The 18909-nt window shown below is 47.8% G+C and overlaps 1 protein-coding gene across 8 annotated transcripts in view, besides 6 other annotated features; it reads right to left on the bottom strand.

The window, feature by feature from the left end:
- TRIO (trio Rho guanine nucleotide exchange factor) overlaps positions 1–12549 on the bottom strand; it is a 366863-nt gene extending 354314 nt beyond the window's left edge. For 6 of the 8 annotated variants that reach the window (NR_134469.2, XM_047417679.1, NM_007118.4 and 3 more), the window contains exon 1: positions 12009–12549. Coding sequence is in view for 5 of the 8 variants with exons in the window: in NM_007118.4 (NP_009049.2) it covers positions 12009–12165 (157 nt within the window). In the remaining 3 variants the exon portion in view is untranslated. Of the gene's footprint in view, positions 1–10869; positions 11086–11361 lie in introns of those variants that run through there. The other 2 variants (XM_011514110.4, XM_011514108.2) reach the window with 2 other exon arrangements.
- Positions 10688–11387: a silencer, noted in NCBI's record as "silent region_15939". NCBI's record gives its function as "represses an Ori minimal core promoter by ATAC-STARR-seq in GM12878 lymphoblastoid cells {active_cell/tissue: GM12878}" and the evidence as "EXISTENCE:reporter gene assay evidence [ECO:0000049][PMID:35858748]".
- Positions 11398–11477: a silencer, noted in NCBI's record as "silent region_15938". NCBI's record gives its function as "represses an Ori minimal core promoter by ATAC-STARR-seq in GM12878 lymphoblastoid cells {active_cell/tissue: GM12878}" and the evidence as "EXISTENCE:reporter gene assay evidence [ECO:0000049][PMID:35858748]".
- Positions 11528–11647: a silencer, noted in NCBI's record as "silent region_15937". NCBI's record gives its function as "represses an Ori minimal core promoter by ATAC-STARR-seq in GM12878 lymphoblastoid cells {active_cell/tissue: GM12878}" and the evidence as "EXISTENCE:reporter gene assay evidence [ECO:0000049][PMID:35858748]".
- Positions 11718–12057: a silencer, noted in NCBI's record as "silent region_15936". NCBI's record gives its function as "represses an Ori minimal core promoter by ATAC-STARR-seq in GM12878 lymphoblastoid cells {active_cell/tissue: GM12878}" and the evidence as "EXISTENCE:reporter gene assay evidence [ECO:0000049][PMID:35858748]".
- Positions 12308–12507: a silencer, noted in NCBI's record as "silent region_15935". NCBI's record gives its function as "represses an Ori minimal core promoter by ATAC-STARR-seq in GM12878 lymphoblastoid cells {active_cell/tissue: GM12878}" and the evidence as "EXISTENCE:reporter gene assay evidence [ECO:0000049][PMID:35858748]".
- Positions 12638–13077: a silencer, noted in NCBI's record as "silent region_15934". NCBI's record gives its function as "represses an Ori minimal core promoter by ATAC-STARR-seq in GM12878 lymphoblastoid cells {active_cell/tissue: GM12878}" and the evidence as "EXISTENCE:reporter gene assay evidence [ECO:0000049][PMID:35858748]".

Below are 18909 nucleotides of genomic sequence, written 5' to 3'. Positions count from 1 at the left end.
GCTACAACTAGCAAATGAAAGAAGGGAGAGGAACAGCCTCAAATTATCTCCCCACAAAATGCTAACTAATGACAAAGGGACAAATAGGGTGGAGAGACCTGCAAGTCATCACCTGAACCAAGTGATCAAAGTGCTCATCACCACAGTGGGACAGTGGATATCACATGTTCCCAGACACGATGCTCCAAAAAGGATGCAGCCCTTCTGCCAAAAATGCACAGCCTGAATTTAGTCATGAGAATCAGGCAACCCAAACTGGGAGGTAGTCTTTAAAATAACCACCATGTAATCGTCAAAACTATCAGGGTAACAAGGGAGACAGGCTGAGGAGATGTTCCAAATTCAAGGAAACTGAAGAGATACGACAAACTAAATGTAACATGGTCCTGAGTGAGATCCTGGACCATAATTTTTTTAACTGCCAAAAAGGACAATCCTGAGACAATTGGTAAAAAGGTGTTAAAGTTAGTGATTTAGATCATGATATCATATCAAAACTAATTTCCTGATTATGATCACTATGTAAGAGCATGTCCTCACTCTTAGAAAATATGCACTGAACCATTTAGAGGTAAGGGACATCATCATATTTGTAACCTACTCTCAAATGGTTCAGAAACAAGATAACATGTAAATTAGCTATATCCAGAAAGAGAAGCAGAGGAAGACAAAGCAGAAGTGGTGAAATACTTACAACTGGGGATCTGAAGCTGTTCTTGCTTCTTTGAGCATGATGAGTTCTGCCTTCTCAAAGTAAGTTTACCCCCACCCCGAAATAACTTTAGATGTAATCCACAATTAATACATGGACCAACTAAATGACCAAAAACTACACAGCAAAATCACAATTCAACTAAGTTAATTCGGACCTGAGCTTTGTATCACCTTTATTAGTTTAAAATAAAAGATATACTACAATAGCAGGTCAAAAGCAACCCAGGGTCTTAAAGGCCAATCCTTTTAATCCTAGAAATCTTCAAACGGAAAGAATTACATAAAAATGTAAAAGCTTGAAAGTTTTAGAAACTCCTAGGGCAAACTAGGAGGAAGTGACTGGTAAATGTTTAGAGCACAATCTACCTTCTGATTATACAGTGTCTGCCTTCAAGAGACCAGCATTTCAATCATCCTGACTGAAATATTAAAACTCCAAAGTAAACGTGGAGTCACACAGAAAAACAGAGCATATTCCCAGTGTGGAAATGATGCTCGAAAACAACAGCTCAGAAGTTTTATGTGGGCATAAACCTGAGCAAGCATCCCATAAAATCATGCCATTGACTGTGAGGGGACCACATGAGGTATGGCTGATGAGAACGCAACCCACACACAGAACAGCCTAGGACACGTGCCTGAGACAGTGGGAAGGAAATGACCCTGCTTCCCCCAACTAAATATCATCTACGTGCACATTTTGATGAAAAACAGCAAAAAAATGAGTGGCTACAACGAAACAGCTATATATAGCAAAACCAGGAGTGACCACAACCATTTTATAAAACCAACCCCAAAAAGGCAGCTCCGTGGTGCCCTCCTGCCCCTCTCACTCCCCGGCCCCGTTCCTTTCCTAAGTTAGAAAGGAAGCCCTGGTAGTGTTCTAATGTGTCACACACAGCAAGGGCTGGGAAACCTCCCTCCCTGGCCAGCCTCTCCCCGCCCTTCCCGTACTCCCAACCCCCACATTAACAGCCAGAGATTTCCTATCCAACACTTGAGTCCAAGTCCAGACAGCCAAGAAAACAGAGGGCCAAGATTTCAATCAGGATTTCTCCCCAGACTGTGAGCCGGGGGAGCCTGTAAAACTCAACAGAGCCAACATGCCTCCACCGGAAAGCTGGGACTGCTAGGGTTATTTACGTAAAAGGTAACATCAGTATTAATTAGGTGAGAAGAGGAAAGGCACAGAAACTAAATTACAGGGCCCAAACCAACATGAGAAAAATACTTGCTATAGCCTGGAATCTTTCACTCAAGTTTTATTTGGTGTGAGACTTGTAAATTATAGCTTTGATCCTTAACACACGAGTATACACAAATTCAATTCTCAGGATTTTAAAATGAAAATCCAGGAGGCTGTGGGATGCTGTATAGAGGAGGGGTCATGCCTACTCTCTCCTTCCATGAGAGGGAAGGGGCATGGAGGGGGCTTTGTAATCTGCCAGCCCTGGGCTTAAATTCCAATTCAGGCCCTCACAAACAGAGTCAAATGGGGCAAGCAGGTCGCTTGCCCTACCAGAAGCAGACATCCTCATCCACAACCCAGGAATGGCATCCACCTGCTGAAGGAGGGGGAGCTGCTTCTATCCAAGGAAAAGTATATAAAACACTCTGCACAGTGCCTGGCAAAGTACAGGCCCTTGGATGGTAAAACCAGTGGTGGCAATACAGAGATAACAGTGAAGAGGAAGATTTTACCAGGTTTTCTTAGAGAACAGGATGGGACTTACAGCTTTGGGAGAAAAAGAAATAAACACAGTATCTTAAATCTCATCCTATGACATTGCAAGCAGGTTACTACTTTGCAGATGTGCTTATTCTACTTTCCTATGGAGCACAATTCCAAAGGTGCTATCTCATCCCACGTGACAGGGGTCCTGGCCTCTCTTGCTGCTCCCTGGCAGCTGCTGTTAAAGATTTAGAGGATAGCAAGGGTGTGGCAAGCATGGCCAGGGGCAGGCTGTTGCAAGGCTGCCATCCTACTTTCCAAAGCCTCCATCGTCCACTCTGCAGGTTATCACCGAAAATCTGTGTGATTCCACCTCAATCTTGCATGCCTTTCGAAGGCTTCCAGCTCTTTGGTTCAGTGGACAGCTTCCGTCTTACAAACAGGCTGAACCTTATGAGAATTCAGACTCCAGCAGAGTTGAGGCTGGCCCTAATAAACAATACCCATGAGGTATGAGAGAAAGGCCTAACAATGAATCCTGCAAATTCTGCAATTAAATATTGGAAAAGTAATATGTATACCAACCAACTAACAAAATTTACCTACTAACAACATTCTGGCACTAAATGACTCTACAGTGAAGCCCCTGCCATGAAGAGCTGCTCTCCTATGGGCAACCCATCAGGATGCACTGATCTGAATTGGCACGTGAGTAAAAGGTACAGCCTGAAACCATCAAATTAGCACCCGTTCTCCAGGCTCCTGGACCCAAGACATATTAGGGTAAGTGCAACAAAATTTAGATGGAGGTGAAGTGACTCTTAAAAAGCGTGAAATACGGACGCAGTGGCTCACGCCTGTAATCCCAGCACTTTGGGAGCCCAAGATGGGTGGATCACGAGGTCAGGAGTTCAAGACCAGCCTGGCCAAGATGGTGAAACCCCGTCTCTACTAGAAATACAAAAAAATTAGCTGGGCATGGTGGCGGGCGCCTGTAATCCCAGCTACTTGGGAGGCTAAGGCAGAGAACTGCTTGAACCCGGGAGGCAGAGGTTGCAGTGAGCCAAGATTGCGCCATTGCACTCCAGCCTGGGTGACAGAGCGAGACTCCATCTCAAAACAAACAAACAAACAAACAAACAAAAAAACTGAAATACATCCTGCCCCCATGCGATCTGGGTTTGTTTTGTTTTGTTTTGCTTTTCGAGCTAGTAATGTTCCCTTGCATGCCAGCTTTCATCACTCTGGTACTGAAAAGGGCAGTGAACGCTGGGAAGAATTTCTCATAATCATGAACTTAAATTTTTTAAAAAGCCACCTACAAATGAGAAATCTATTTGTTTACTATTAGACTAATGAGGGATTTATTCCAGTTATTTAGATGTCAAAATATTGGGCAATTTAAACTTTAGAGATTTTATTGTGTGAAGCTAGTTAGGTGGAAATATATATAACACTCCAGTCAAAGCATTGTTTTTCAATATTTGTGTGGTTCAGCTTCAGAATAAAAAACAGAGGAATTGTAGCTCTCGGTCCTTATCATTTAAAACTTAAACTAATAAAGTTATCTAAAAAACAACAGAATTTTAATGCTATTCCTGCAGGCCCTGGCATATCTGTCATGCAGAACAAGGATGAACTTAAAAAGTAAACACAAATAAGAAAATGCAAAACTTTCAGAATGCAAATGCCAAAGAGTGCCCTCTCACAGGTATCAGTGGCATCCTTCAATGGCAGCAGCAAAAAAGAATCATTGTGAACTTGAAAAAGTGGATGGGTCAATGCAAGAGGAAGCAAAGCAAAATGAATAAACAATGGAGATCAATTTATACACACACTGTTTTGGCCAACATCTTAACGACTTCTCATATGCACATCATTTTCAAATCACAATCTAAACATTTTGCCTGAAAGCATTCATGTCATTTATACATGTCACTTCATATATACTAGGAAACACGAGTTCTTTGAAAATAGATTTCAAGTATTAGTCTCCGATATATTCATTCATTCTTGCACTGAAACCACCTATTCCACAGAAATCCAAAGAGGGGTATTTTATGACTTTCCAAGAGATATACCTACATACATACATACACACACACACACACACACACAAACACACACACACACACAATGAAAAAACAGGCACCAACAAACCCCATTTAAAAATATTTTAGGATTATACGTGTAAATTTGAACTGTGTTTTTCTCAAGTTCATGCATAGTTTTATGGTTATGAGTCTTAAAAGTAGGTGGGGCTAACACTTCATAAATCCATTTATTAATTGTCAATACCGTGAAATAGGTAGCTGTCAATTATATACAAGAATGCCTAAGAACAGAGGGCAAATGACCTCCTATAGTTACTCATGTAGGAACGAAGCCCTCCAGATGAAACTAAACTTCTTCTTTCGCACCAGGAACTGTGAGGCGCTGAAGATCATCCTGCATGGGCCACTTGTCATCTTCGATCTGGACAGCAGCACAAATCATGGGAGTGGGAAATTTTGAAGCAGCAAAAATGGTAACTGTCTATAGCTAAAGATTATTGTAAGTCAGATTTGACTTATACACCAGATGGATTTCCAAATTAACACGTATTACAGAATCCCAGGAAAGAATCTTTATTTCCCCCTATCTATCTTTACCATTACCCTAGATCACCCCCGGGCAATTATAAGAAGCTAGGTCCTACATAGCAAAGTATGAACACAAGTATTACTATCTTTCAAATCGATATAAAATCTTTCCAAATTAACTCAATTTTGTTCAAGTTTACTTAGAGAATAATTACTTATATGAGCTTTGGCTTTTGTTGGTATCATTGGTTCTATCTGCATTTCCTCGATTATGAGTGAGGCTGAATATGTATTTTTTGGCCATTCATACTTCTTTTAATTGTTTGCCTATTTTCTTTCTAGATATGTCTTGTCTTAATTGATTTGAGGGAGCCCTTTACTAATTACATATATATAATCCTTTGATTTGTAATAGTTTTTCTCCCAGTTTATTATTGGCCTTTTTTTAATGTCACATTTTAAAATAACATATACAGTTAAACGGTGTGTGTGTGTTGTGTGCATGTGTGTAAAGGTCTGTGAATTTTAACACATGTAACTGCCACAACCAGAATACAAATCAGTTCCCCATCCTTCACCTGCCTCCTGCCCCCTTGTAGCCATACTCCCCCACCCCCTAACTCCTGGCAATCAATGCCCATCTGTTTTCTGTCACTACGGTTCTGTCTTTTTGCCAGTGTCATATAAAGGAACTCATACAGCATGCAGCATTTTGAGACTGTCTTCTCTCACTCAACATTAATGGAATGGCTGTACTATAGTTTGTGATCTATTCACACCTACACAGTTTCAATGCTAACAACAACAGACAGACAGCAAGGGGCCCCTTGGCCTTCCCTGCAGTAAGCCAGTAATGGAGCAGCACCAGCTCCCCCTCCTTTCAGGAAAGGGGTCCACAGAGCGGCCAGGACAAATCTGCTGCCACTCACTGAAATCCCTCCCCAAGAAAAACCTCCTGCAATTCATCCCTGTCCATAGCAGGGCTACAGACTGTGAGAAAACAAGCCTGATCAACTCACGTGGACACCACAAAGTCAAAGTACCCTAGACCTAGAATCCAGTCTTTGTGTTGAGTAAGTTTTCATGAAAGCTTTCTCTGTCAGTGTAACTGCTAAAATGCACTCATTGATGACAAAGCCCAAATAGGAAGATGCCTCCAAAACACCAGCTCTAGACTACTCTACAATCCTCCCCCATCAGACAAGAGTAGACATGTGGCTAATGAAAAGAGCCAGTAATCTAAAACTCAAGTATGTTCATCACCAAAACGAGGTTTTACATTTCCACAGCCCCTCTGCCATCAAATGGCACAGGGAGAAATCTCAGAGGTCAATGCCCTCTGCCCCCCGCTCGTAGCCTCACTCTGGTTTGCTCTCTCTTTCCCCACATACAACCTTTCCCGGGGGGCAGGTGATTAGTAATTTGGGTTTCAAGGGGCTTCCTTATGTGGAGAGGGGACAGAAAAGAGGAAATTAAGGTAACAACACAACTATTCAGTAAGCAAATTAAGTGTTTCCATGAGTGAATGAGAAGCGAAAATGAGTGTTTATGCACTTGTTAACCATTAAACATGAGAGCAAGATTCCCCAAAAGCAAGACTGTCTGCACAGAAGGCTCAGTAACATCAAAAAGCTGGGAGTCCTCACTGGACAATCTAGCCAGGTATCTCTCTTTGAGATTTACGAACTAGCAGGGAGCTGGGCACCTTGGCAGTGAGAGCGAAGTCCTGTTCTGCGGGCACAGGGGGAGGAGACCAGGGGTCCAGCAGGAAGCCAGCAGCACATGCAGGGCCCCGCAAGCCTCTGACCACTCCTCTATGCTCCCTTCCCCTCAGTTCAGAGGCACAGCAATAGGAATTCCCAGAACAGCTCCCGCTGAGTAACAGCAGCCAGAATTCCCAAGTGCAAGGGTCACTGGGAAGTCTCCCTGTTCATTCCCTCTCCCAGTGGCCCACTGAACAGCGCGTCAGCAGAACTGGAATAGGACGAAGAGAACCCTGTGGATGCACATCGAACCCGCTTACCCCTTGCTCCAGCTGGGGACCCAGCCTGGTCCCTGCAGCCCATTAATTAAAATGAGGCTGAGAAGATTCAAAAGACAGCATCTCCATCCACCAGGCCAACCACACCATCACCCTTGTCAGTTTGGCCAAGTCTACGCAGCTGAGTACTTGGAAGAAATGGGAGGATGAGGTCAGAGCACGCACTTTCCACCAGAATACACTGGGATTCTCCCGCAAATCCAAGTCTTCACTGTCCAGGGAGTCGCTACTATTTCCTGCCAGTGGCGCTGTTAAAATTTTGTCAAGACAATGCACTTAAGGAAATAAAAGCCAATTCATTATAGAATTGAGGAGGAATGGGGGCAGGGTGTTATCACTGCTTTTTGTAGTAAAACACAGCTCATCCCTATCAATATCAGTGAGTTTACTAGGCAGTAAAGTGTGGCTATTGATTAAGAATTAGACTTTTCTCTGGAATTCTGCCAAGGTTATGAGATAAAATTTTATTTTCTCGATAGTCAAGTAAATAAACAAAGTAAATATTGAATACAGCTGACTTAGATTATGACAGCTTCAAACACATCTTTCACCTGCAGTTCAGAACAAATCTCAACTTTATCGTAACATTTAAAAGGTCAAAAAAGGCCACTGAAATTACATATTTTTAGGGTACATTTAGGAAACATATGTAAACCACATGCTTCATTTTGAACACCACCACCGGCTTCATTTAAATCTGGTTAATCATTTAAATGGTGGAAATGGCTTCTTTAAATTTTCATTTGAATCTTAAATAGTTAAATTGCAAAGGGAAAAAATACAATATCCCACATCAATATGTCGGTTTACAAGGTCTCAATGAAAAGCTTCTTTCAGTGATGACTTTACTGCACTTCTTTGATTCCTCGAAAGTCACTTACAGGAATTTTAGAAATCTCCTTGCTTTCCTCTAAAACTGACTGTGCCACCTAAAAAGGAGAAACCAACATTCACTATCAAATTACATTTCCTTCAGTTTCTATTTTTGAAATATTGAGGGTAACAAGGACCCACTTTGTAATACAATCATTATTGGTGCTCACAAGGACCAAAGCTGCCAGGCTTCTCAATACCAACAGAAGTAGCACAGCCCGCCCCAGGCCAACTACCTAAGTGGCATTCAAGGTATAAATATGAAGAAAAGCTTCTCTCAATACTCCACAAGGAAACCGTCATATCAAAATATATAAAAGTATGTGTGCTTCTCCCTAATAGACTTGATTTTCTTCACCTGTTCCCTGGAAAGACAGGGGCTGCAGGAGGAGTCGAGTAAGATTTAATAATGAAAGAAACCAAGCACGACAGGACGTGATGCTTCAGAATAACTACAAACCTTTATTCTCCAGATATTCATTTAACGCCAACCTAAAGCGTGCCAGGCAGGTTAAAAATACTGCATTTATGTAAGCACCTCCACCACACACACACGCTCTCACAAGGTTAAATAGGGAGCTCTGAAAGAATGATTTATTGCCACGAGAACAGAGCCCCAAAATAGATTGGCAATAAAAATGATTGGTCCCAGTGGGGTTGAGAACTAATGTAAGCAACGTCCTGGCTATGAGAAGCGACCAGGAAAGAGCACCAGGGACCAGGGCCCTGACTCTAACTCTACCCAAGTTCCACTCTGGGGGGCAAGTCATGAAACCTCCCTAAGGCTGATTCCTCATCTGTAAAATAAAATTAAAACAAGGCTAGCTCATTTTTGTGGTGTCTTTTTTTTTCTTTTTGCTCTTGCATTGAAATTGGTTTTACTGTGCTGAGCTCTGTGCAAAGGAGAAAAGTGAAGTTTGAAATTCACTAACACCTGCAGAAAATCTCTTACTGCTCTTTAACACACAAGCACCAGGACTTGACTCACATTATTACAACTCAATCCACTTGAACACTAATTGGCCTGCCTGCTTCATGCCAGGTCTATAAATAGGTGATCAAAATGATCATCAAAATGAACAGGGAGTGCCAAGGTCCTGAGCAGAGAACGGAATGACAGCAAAGGAAATGAGACCTTGGGTGAGGTGAACCCTGGGTGGACGCTCAGCAGAGGAGAAGGGCACCAGGGCTCTGGAGCCCTGAACTACCCAAAGAAAAGCGGAGAACAATGATTAGGCACTGAGGACTCAGAGAAAGCCAGAGTCCACAGGGAAAGGGGAACAGCCCCAAGGTCATCTCCCGGACCCCTCTCCAGGGCAGCAGTCCTGTCCCCTGAGCCCAACTCCAAACCCTGCCAGGTGACAGCACCTTTATGTGAGCACTTCCAGTAATGGAGAAATCACAGGACTGTTCACTCTATTTCTGAACTTCCCTTAATTGTTTAAAAGTTCTATTAAAGTCTTCTCTTTCTTTCATCCAACCACTGGTATTAGTTTTCAATCTGTGGCTACAAAGACAAAGCCGAATGCGGGCAACAAGAACGAATTTAAAAAAAAGAAAGAAAATCAGGCAGCCATGCAAACAGAGTTTCAGGGCTGAGAAAGGAAAGGCAAGCAATGGAAAGCCTTTGTCTAAGTCAGGTTGGCACTTTTAGTACCAGGCTCAAAAACACACCATGATCTGTCCTCCCCAGTCAATGAGAACCTATTTTCCCATGTTTCTGAGTCTTAGAAAAGAAAGCCAGATTTCTGATGGATTTGACTGCTCCATTCTCCTCAGCTTCCTTGCCCGGTCAGCCCTGACTGTTCAAACCCCACCCCCACACCCACCCATCCAACAGAATGACCCCTCTCTGCCCCCTGCTAGACATCGTTGGCCTAGATGCTAGAGCCAAGATCTAGGTCAGGGACTCAGAGCTGCCCAAAGGAGATTTCACTTTTAAAAAGACGTTCCAGGCTATCGCTGGAATGGGATGCTGCATCTGATACCTACTTAAGTTCTGCCCTGGCTCCTGATTCTAAGTGAAACAACTAAAAAGTTAAGTTTGTCATTTTGGAGGGCAGAAGAAAGGAACAAGCCAGTGAGACATTACCTGGTTCTGACCCAAACGGAACATGAACAGGAGCCCTGGCGGCGGGGGCAGCACAGGCCTAAGCAAAGCCAAGAGCAGACGACAACTCCTGGAGAGAGCCACGCCAACAGGCAGCAAATCTTCGGTGTCTTTTAGGGAGGGCTCTTAGCAGCAGCAGAAGTGATTTTTGTACTATGCATAATAGAGATGTAAAAAAGCCTGGTCTCACAAACACCAAAAAATCCATCTCCAACGCAGAAGAGCCTTTCTAACAGAGAGGAGCTGAATTCTGCACAGAATCTATTATTCTGTGACAGGTAGGTAGAGAGAAAGCTAGACTTAGCTTCAGGGCATGAAGGGAATACGTCCCAGTTCTGCTATTAAGAGGTAAGACGGGGCTGCTCTATCTGGCCAGTCGCACCAAAAAAAAAAAGGTGGGGGGGGGTAGCTTTCTTTAGAAGGAGCTCATGTTTTCCTAAACCTTTGCTTTCTGCAGGCACTTCTCAAGGAGAGTGAGCACTGGGGAGTAGATTAACCCCAAGCTAACACTGGACAGTCGGCTGTGTCACTCCCAGCCACAACCAATCTGCTAAAATGAATCAAAAATAACCCCGCCTAGCAAAGATCAAGACAACCAAGAGAAGACAGTACTAAACCAGGTATCTACCAGCACTGCTAACTTCTGCCTCTCACCATCGCCCTCCCGCTGCAATTGCTCCTCGTGACCCGGATTGGGGAACTGATCTCACCGAATCTGGGGAGGTGATTTTCAAAGAGGCCACGGAAAAGCGTGAACCGCCGACCTCCCGCGCGTCCCCCAGCGCAGGGCCGCTCCCCCGGCCTGTCGGTGTCCCCAGCCCGGCCGTCCTCCCCGAGGCCGCCACCAGCACCCCCGCCCGCCTCTCCAGGCCCGGACCTGGCCCGCCCTCCTCCGCTCTCCAACCCGGAGTCTGCATCCTCCCTGCCCCGTGCCCGGCCCGCTAAGGACTGCGCTCTGGGTGCCGGCCCCGAGGCCGCCGCCGCCGCCGCCGCCTCCTCCTCCTCCTGCTGCTGCTCAGCCGACGCGCGAGCAGACCGGACTGGGCGCGGGGACGCGGGACGCGGGGACGCGGGCCCGGCTCGCGCGGGATCTGGGCCGGAGCGGGAGGAGGCGCCGCCGCTGGGGTACCGGGGACGCCCTGTCACGCCCCCTGCGCAGCAAACCCGGTGCCCCTCCCGCGGACCGGTCGCCACCCGCGCCTCTCCCGCGGCCACCCCCTCTGCGCCGGGGTGGACTCGGGGCCACCTGGCACCGCCTCCACCTCCACGCCACCCACACAGTGCCCCGCGAGCCCCAGCCCCGCGCCGCCCCCCCGGGGCCACGTTCCCAGCTGACCCTCCCGGGTCGTCCCCGGAGACAATGGCTCACCGCGCCTCCCGGTCCTCCGAGCTTCAGCTCGGCCACCGTCCCCACTCCCTGGGCAGTGAGTGCCGTGACTGCCCCGTTTCACAGAAGTGTAGACCAAGGCCGGGGAGATGACAGGCTAGAGGGCCAAGCAAAGAAACCCGGCTGCTAATGGGGTCGAGGAGGGTCCAGGTACAAATCAGCCAGAGACAGGCACAGATCAAAGACCAATTTCCCGTCCCGGACCGGCCCCGGCTCAGTCCGCTCGGCCTCCGGGGTAAGAGCCTCCGCCCACGCCATCTCCGCCGCCGCCTCCTCGGTCCTCCAGCGAAAGAGACAAAGAGCCGGCGCCCCAACCCGCGAAGCCGCGGCTGCCGGGAGCGGCAGACCGGGGGATTCTGCCCTAAAACGAGGGGCGGGCGCAGGGAGGGCGAGGTGGTGGCATTCGGGCCAAGCTGCCGCGCGCCCGGCTGCGCGGGCAGCGGGACACGCGGATGTGGGGCGGGCAGCCCCGGCGCATGGAAGCAGTGGTCCCAGGCGAGAGCCTGCGGGCCCCGACGGACGGACGGGCGGGCACCAGCGCGCGGTGGCCGGAGCTCGGCAGCTCCGCGGCGGGTCGGCCGAGCGCTTGGGGCAGCGCCGCTGGGCGGGCCGGCCGCAGTTGCACTCACCGGATCGGAAGAAGGCCGCGATGTCGGCCAGGTCCTTGGCCGCCTCCTCTGCCCCCTCGCCGGCACCGCCCCCGCAGCCCGAGCCAGCCGCGCTGGCCGCCGCGGCGGGGCCGGAGGACGCGGCGGGGGCGGCGGCTCCGCCGCTGCTGCCGCTCATGGCTGCGGCGGCGCCCGCGGCCGCGCCCGCCTCGGGCCCCGCGCCCCTAGCGCCGCGTGCCGCCCGCTCCGCGCCGGGCCTGGCGGCGCCGAGCACCCAGCTGCCCGCGCCCGGCGCGCGGACGCAGAGCCCCGGGGCGGCGGGGGGCGGCGGCGGCGGCTCGGCCCAAGGAGCGCGCCCACATAGACGAGGACTCCGCCCGGTAGCCGCGAGCTGGCCGAGGGGCGGAGGCGCGGAGCCACGGCCTCCCGGGCGCCGGCCGGAGCGCGGGCAGCAGCACGCGCCTCCCGGACGCGCAGTCGCGAGGGCGGGGGCCCGTGGCCGGCGAGACCTCCGGGATCACGGGCGCCGGCGGCTGCCGCGAGCCTCCATCTTGATTTCAATGGGGAAGGAAGGAGGGGGGAGGGGGAAATCACGGCCGAGGGAACCCGGGTGAAAGGAAAAGGGAGAACAGGGAACGGAGAGGAAGGAAAAAAAAGAGGGGCTTCGGTAATTTCCGGCGAACTTCGTCAAGGGCCGAGCCTGGGCTCGGCGGTGGGCGGAGCCTGGGGGAGGGGCGGGGCCGCGTTGGGCGGATGGGCTCCCGCAGGGCTGGCGGGGAGGCTGCAGGAACGTTCGGTTTGGTTCGGTCTGCTTCCCCGGGGCAGCTCCAAGCCTTGGAAGGCGCAGGAAAGCTCTGACCAGCCGGGGCGGACCTTCCCAGGCCCGGCATTGCGCCCCCAACCGGGGCGCTGGCTCCTGCACCGGTGCGCGGTCCCCTGAGCGCCGAGGCGTTTCGTCGTCTAGCCCGCAAGGCGGGGTGACGCGGGCCGGGGCGGGTGCCTCCCTAGTGGGCTCAGCGCTGGCCCTGGCTCGGGGAGGGGGCTTCTTAATAGTTGTTGAGTGAACATAGAGGGCCCGAAAACAGGTTATCTGCTCCAGTCCCGGAGGCCACGGTACTCCTAAGGGTACAAAGCTCTCCTGTAAAATGGGATTCCTCTCGGTGTATCCCCATCTCCCAGGGGACTTTCGGCTGCTGAACCTCGGGTTCACGGTTTCTCAGTCCTTACTCCGCCAGAATGAATGGGGAAGATGACGGGGTCTGGGGAGGCCAAAAGAAATGTTCCTTTGCGGAAGATCCGTGTCAAACCAGCGCTGGACGAATATTCTAGTTCAAAACGCCTATGCCCCGGCTACGAGGAGAGTGAAAGGATCCAGTGCCGGGGGAAACAGGCAGAAGCAAGAGAGATGAAAAACAACTGGGTGATGAAACCACCACACGAGTATACTGGAAATAGACAAATGTAAATGGTGGATGGTGGCCATCAAATCTTCACTGCTGGAGTGGAGGTTACAGCCAGGAAGAGGCTAGAGTGATCCTTGTGGTACAGGGTTAGAGTTGGAGACATCGTTATGGACTCATGTTTGGGGTCTACATCTATATTATATATTCATAATGTATATAATGGGTCTGTACAGAGATTTGTAGATAAAGGGTCGTACACATACTTGTATCTCTTTGCTTTGTCAGCTGAGTGGGCCTAGACACAACACTCTGTAGCAACGAATACACCTAGCGCTCTGATCTTGCTTCTAGTACCATTCTCCAATAAAAGGAGCCAGAGCTCCTTGAGGAAATGACTGATTCTAGGACTGGGACGGGAAATATTCAAGGTGTGCCTGGAGCACCTTGTGCCAAAAGGTAGGTAATTTGCTCCCCCCATGAAAAAAAAATTTTTTTAATTGACATCAGCAATGGTGGGGGTACCTCAAAGGGACACAGGAGCTAATTGAAAGCGCTCCCAGTGGCCAAAGCTGAAACGATTTGAGCAAGAAAATAAAGCAGAATGTGATTATAACCAAAAGTATAAAATAAATTATCCATGAGTCCATAGTGATGAAAATAAATGATTAAGCAAATAAGTGGGATTAAGTAATATATAATATAGTATTTTTAAAATTAAGTAAATCAATGGGATTAAGTAAATACATTGGGAACAATTCTAAATAATTTATGTGGATACTGTGCCCTCCATGAAATGGAGGAGCCCTCTCCTAAACCGTGGCCTGCACATAGTAACTTCCTTCCAAAGAATACAAAATGGAAAGGAGGGGCAAAAGAGTAAGTTTACAGTGGAGAAATGTGACAAATACTACCTCAGCCAGGTGATCAAGGTGAACAGCAGAAGCAAGAAGGTGTGTTGATACTATGTACCCTTGATATGATGTGATGAGACCAGCATTTTACCTTTGTGGTCTTCCTCTCGAAAACCCATAACTCCGATCCAATCATGTGAACAACAGTAGATGAATCCCAGCTGAGGGACATTCTAGAAACAAACCAGGCCAGTACTCCCCCAAACTGCCCAGGTCATCCAAAAGAAGGAAAGTCTGTATAATTGTCACAGCCAAGAGGAGCCTGAGGAGACAGGATGACTAAATGGAATATAGTGTTCTTGATGGGATCCTGGAACCACAAAAGAACATTAGGTAAAAACTAAGAAAATCTGAAAAACATATGGACTTTAATCAATAGTGATAAACCAACATTGCTTCTTTAATTATGAGAAATGTACCATATGAGTAAAAGATGCTAATAATAAAAGAAACTTGGTGTGGGGTATATGAGAACTCTGTACTGTCTTCACAAATTTTCTGTAAATGTCAATCTATCCTAAAATAAAAGTTTATTTTAAAAGTTACTGAAGAATTGCATGGGCAGTGTATCCCAAAAAATAATGCAGTAGGTCCAAAATTCACAGGCCATCAGCTCACATGTGCTGACAACATTCCTTTGATTTTTTCCCCTCAGTTAATTTGAGTCTCCAGCTCCCACTGGCCCTATGGCAGAAAGCTTAGTTTTAGTTTAGGGAAAACTCAATCTCTTGGGGTTTTCTTTGTCAATTAGATGTTCTTCCCTCCCCCTATCTTCTCCCCAAGATTGTAGCCAAGCTCTCAAGGCTTTTGCTCCAGGTGGCAACAGAGAGGTACCTGGTCCTTGATCGTCATGGATTTATGCTGGCATGGGTGTATAGCTGTGTCCCTCCACCCTGGCATCCTGCCTGGATTGCAGGAATTGCTCAGGCCTTGCCTTCTGCTGTTACTTCTCTCCCAACCATGGCAACTCCAGAGGTCAGCTGGCAGTCAGTGCCACTCCTGAGCTATTCCCAGCCACCCAGGGAAATAATCAGCTGCTCACTGGAGTGCTCAGACCTCCCCACAACCACCAGCAAGGTTCCCTTCCCAGCCAGTCTCAGAAAACAAGACTAGGGCCGGGCGTGGTGGCTCACGCCTGTAATCCCAGCACTTTGGGAGGCCAAGGCGGGCAGATCACGAGGTCAGGAGATGGAGACCTCCCGGCCAACATGGTGTCTCTACTAAAAATACAAAAATTAGCTGGGTGTAGTGGCACGTGCCTGTAATCCCAGCTACTTGGGAGGCTGAGGCAGGAGAATCGCTTGAACTCGGGAGGCGGAGGTTGCAGTGAGCCTAGATCGCACCACTGCACTCCAGCCTGGAGACAGAGCAAGACTCCGTCTCAAAAAAAAAAAAAAAAAAAATTGGGCGGGCGTGGTGGCGGACGCCTGCAGTCCCAGCACTTTGGAAGGCGGAGGCGGGCGGATCACGAGGTCAGGAGATTGAGACCTTCCTGGCTAACACGGTGAAACCTCGTCTCTACTAAAAAATACAAAAAATTAGCCGGGCCTGGTGGTGGGCGTCGGTAGTCCCAGCTGCTCGGGAGGCTGAGGCAGGAGAATGGCATGAACCTGGGAGGCGGAGCTTGCAGTGAGCCAAGATCTCGCCACTGCTCTCCAGCCTGGGCAACAGAGCGAGACTCCGTCTCAAAAAGGAAAAAAAGAAAGAAAGAAAACTAGACTAAGATCTCTGCTCTCCAATCCCACAAGCCTATCTGGGTACAAGCTCTTTTCTCAGAGGCTCATCAGGGTTTGACACTATCCATCTCCTTTCCCCCATATTGAAGAATATTTATGTCATCTCCAGAAAGAAAATCTCACTCCAGTTTTGTCATGCTTTCTTCCAAATCTGTTGGTTTTTTTGACATAAAGTTTGTGTTCCAGTGGAAACTCAGCTCCTAATATTCAACAATGTTTTCCCCCCAATTATTCCTTCTACCATGGATTCCAAAGTGTCTCTTAAAATTCAGAAACCAAGTGCCAACTTATTTTTTTCTCTTTGCATCCATCCCATTATAACCCTACCGTGTGGATAGTGAATACAGAGCTCCTCTCTGCTGCCAAAATGGTGGAGAAAGGTCGAGAATTTGAAAAAGTCAAAACTGCTTAGGAGAGAGGGACAGACTGGATGAAATGCAGCCACAGAAAGATTGGCAATACCTTAGTGGTGGTGCCTGGGAAGTGACAACTGGAAAAGCCTGACTCGTGTTGGAGAATTCTTGGGTGGAGGCAAGTTCTGGGGATGGGAGTTGGCCTGAAAGGGAATGTGGCTGAGTGGTAATGATGGCTAAGGGTGTTGGGAATCGCCATGTCTGGGGAATGGTGTGGATTTGGGCAAAATGAGCTCTCTAGGGTTGGGACTCAGATACTGACCAATTCTGTCTCTGGGAGAGTCAGTTCCAAGAACACCATATAGAAGATTTGTGTCTGAGTGTGGGACTTGCTTGCAGGCTCACGCAGATTGCAGTAAGAGAAAGAGGCTGCATACAGGTTTTTCCCTTCTGCTATCTGAGCATGTGGAGGGGGGATCTAAACAGGGTTTCGTGACAGCTGCTGTTGATCCTGCACAACCTTCAAAATTCAGCTCAAATTTCATCGCCTCTGGTGAACCTCTGAAGCCCTATTCACAGGCATGGGGCCTCGAGAATTGTCAGCTGGTCATCAGGGTGGATTGGTAAAGAGTCTTTTGGGCTCTTCCCACCAGTGGTTTTTCCACTCATTGGAATAGCTCTGAATATACAAATCAAGCAGAGGACAGGGTGAGAGGTAGAAGAGGGAATTAGGAGGAATGTGCCTAGGAAAGAACCAGGGGATGGAATTTGGGAGCATTTGAGGTGTGTGTGTGTGCACACGTGTATGTGCGTGTGTGTGTGTGTACACATGCTTTTGCTTCCGAAGATGTTGGGTTGGAATTGATGAAGATCTTGATCTGGTAGCAGGAAAACCCAGCAATTCAGGGGAAAAAAAGATAAAGGTAGATTTGGCTTTGAAGTGAGCTGAAATTTGGAAGTTGCGAGGAAGGTTTTATTATTACTAGTATATAAATGAGAGATGTATAGGAGAAGTGACAATATCTGTATTTACTGCCTTGGCTTCCAATTGACCCATTTTCCAGGCATGTTGCTTAAAAACAGCTGACTTGCTGTTCTTGGCCAGTAATTCAAAGAATTCCAAATTGAGCCTCTAGCCTGAAATCTGCAGAATCTGAAATTCTACCTGGTGAGATTCATTCATTCTGATCCTGGCCAACTTTTGGTCTTCCAGATTTCTCTTTAAAGGATAAATACTCCTGGGAATGCTAACACCTTAAGCCTTTATCACTTAATACCTCATAGAGAAGATTAGTAGATTAGCCGAGAATTGGTCCAAAGTAATGAGGGATAAAAGAAAGAAAAGAGTGATGGAAGGCACCGATAAAAAAAGTACTGGTGGGGCACAGTGGCTCATGCCTATAATCTCAACACTTTGAGAGGGCAAGAGGATAGCTTGAGGCCAGGAGTTCAAGGCTGCAGTGAGCTCTGATTGAACCATTGCACTTCAGCTAGGGTGACAGAGTGAGACCCCATCTCAAAAAAAAAAAAAGCACTGACTTTGCTTGTGCCTAGAGCTGGTCTTACTGCTTCTGTCTAGTGTAGAACCTGAGCAAGGTCTTCCCTAGTGCATTTGCAACAGTAATGAGGGTTTTTATATTTGAGGTTCACTGATTACTTACTGAAGGGCTCCCATTGCATACAGGAAACCATCTAAAGACTCTATGTCCAGTTTTAGACTGTTCTAGAAGCCTTGATTTATTCATGCTGTAAACATGTTCTGAGTCCCTACTATATGGAAGATGCTCTTTTAAGCACTAGTGAACAAAACCAGCCAACATTCTTGCCCTCGTAGAACTTACTTTGTCATAGGGTGGGATGGGTATGACAGACAATAAGCAAATAAGTAAAATGCATCGTGGCCAAATGACAGTGCAATGGAGAAGAATAAGACAGGAAAAGGGGTGAAGTCTGAGCGACGAAGCAGTGCAACATTTGATGCAACATTTGAGCAAAGATCGGAAAGAGATAAGACAATGAGGGTGTACATCTGTGCCAAGCATGGTGGCTCATGCCTGTAATCCCAGCACTTTGGGAGGCCGAGGCAGGTGGATCACCAGAGGTCAGGAGTCCGAGACCAGCCTGGCTAACATGGTGAAACTCCATCTCTACTAAAAATACAAAAATTAGCCGGGTGCGGTGGGACGTGTTTGTAATCCCAGCTACTTGGGAGGCTGAGGCAGGAGAATTGCTTAAACCTGGGAAGTGGAGGTTGCAGTGGGCCGAGATCATGCCACTGTAGTCCAGCCTGGGCAACAGAGCAAGACTCTGTCTCAAAAAAAAAAAAAAGTGTACATCTAGGGGAAGAGGACTTAAGGGAGGTGAAACAGCAAATGCAAAGGCCCTGAGCAGGAGCGTGTGTTGCTGCTATTTGGAGAATATAGGGGATGCCACTGTAGCTTGGGGAGTTTGGGTGTGGGGGATGAACAGTGGATCTGGTTGGTGAGGTACAGGAATCTCAGCAAGTGCTCTGTAAGGAC

Source organism: Homo sapiens, chromosome 5 (genome assembly GCF_000001405.40).
Source record: "Homo sapiens chromosome 5, GRCh38.p14 Primary Assembly".
In the NCBI taxonomy this organism is placed as follows: domain Eukaryota; kingdom Metazoa; phylum Chordata; class Mammalia; order Primates; family Hominidae; genus Homo; species Homo sapiens.
The sequence above is the reverse complement of the archived record's forward strand: the minus strand, read 5'-3'. Positions and strand labels throughout refer to the sequence as shown.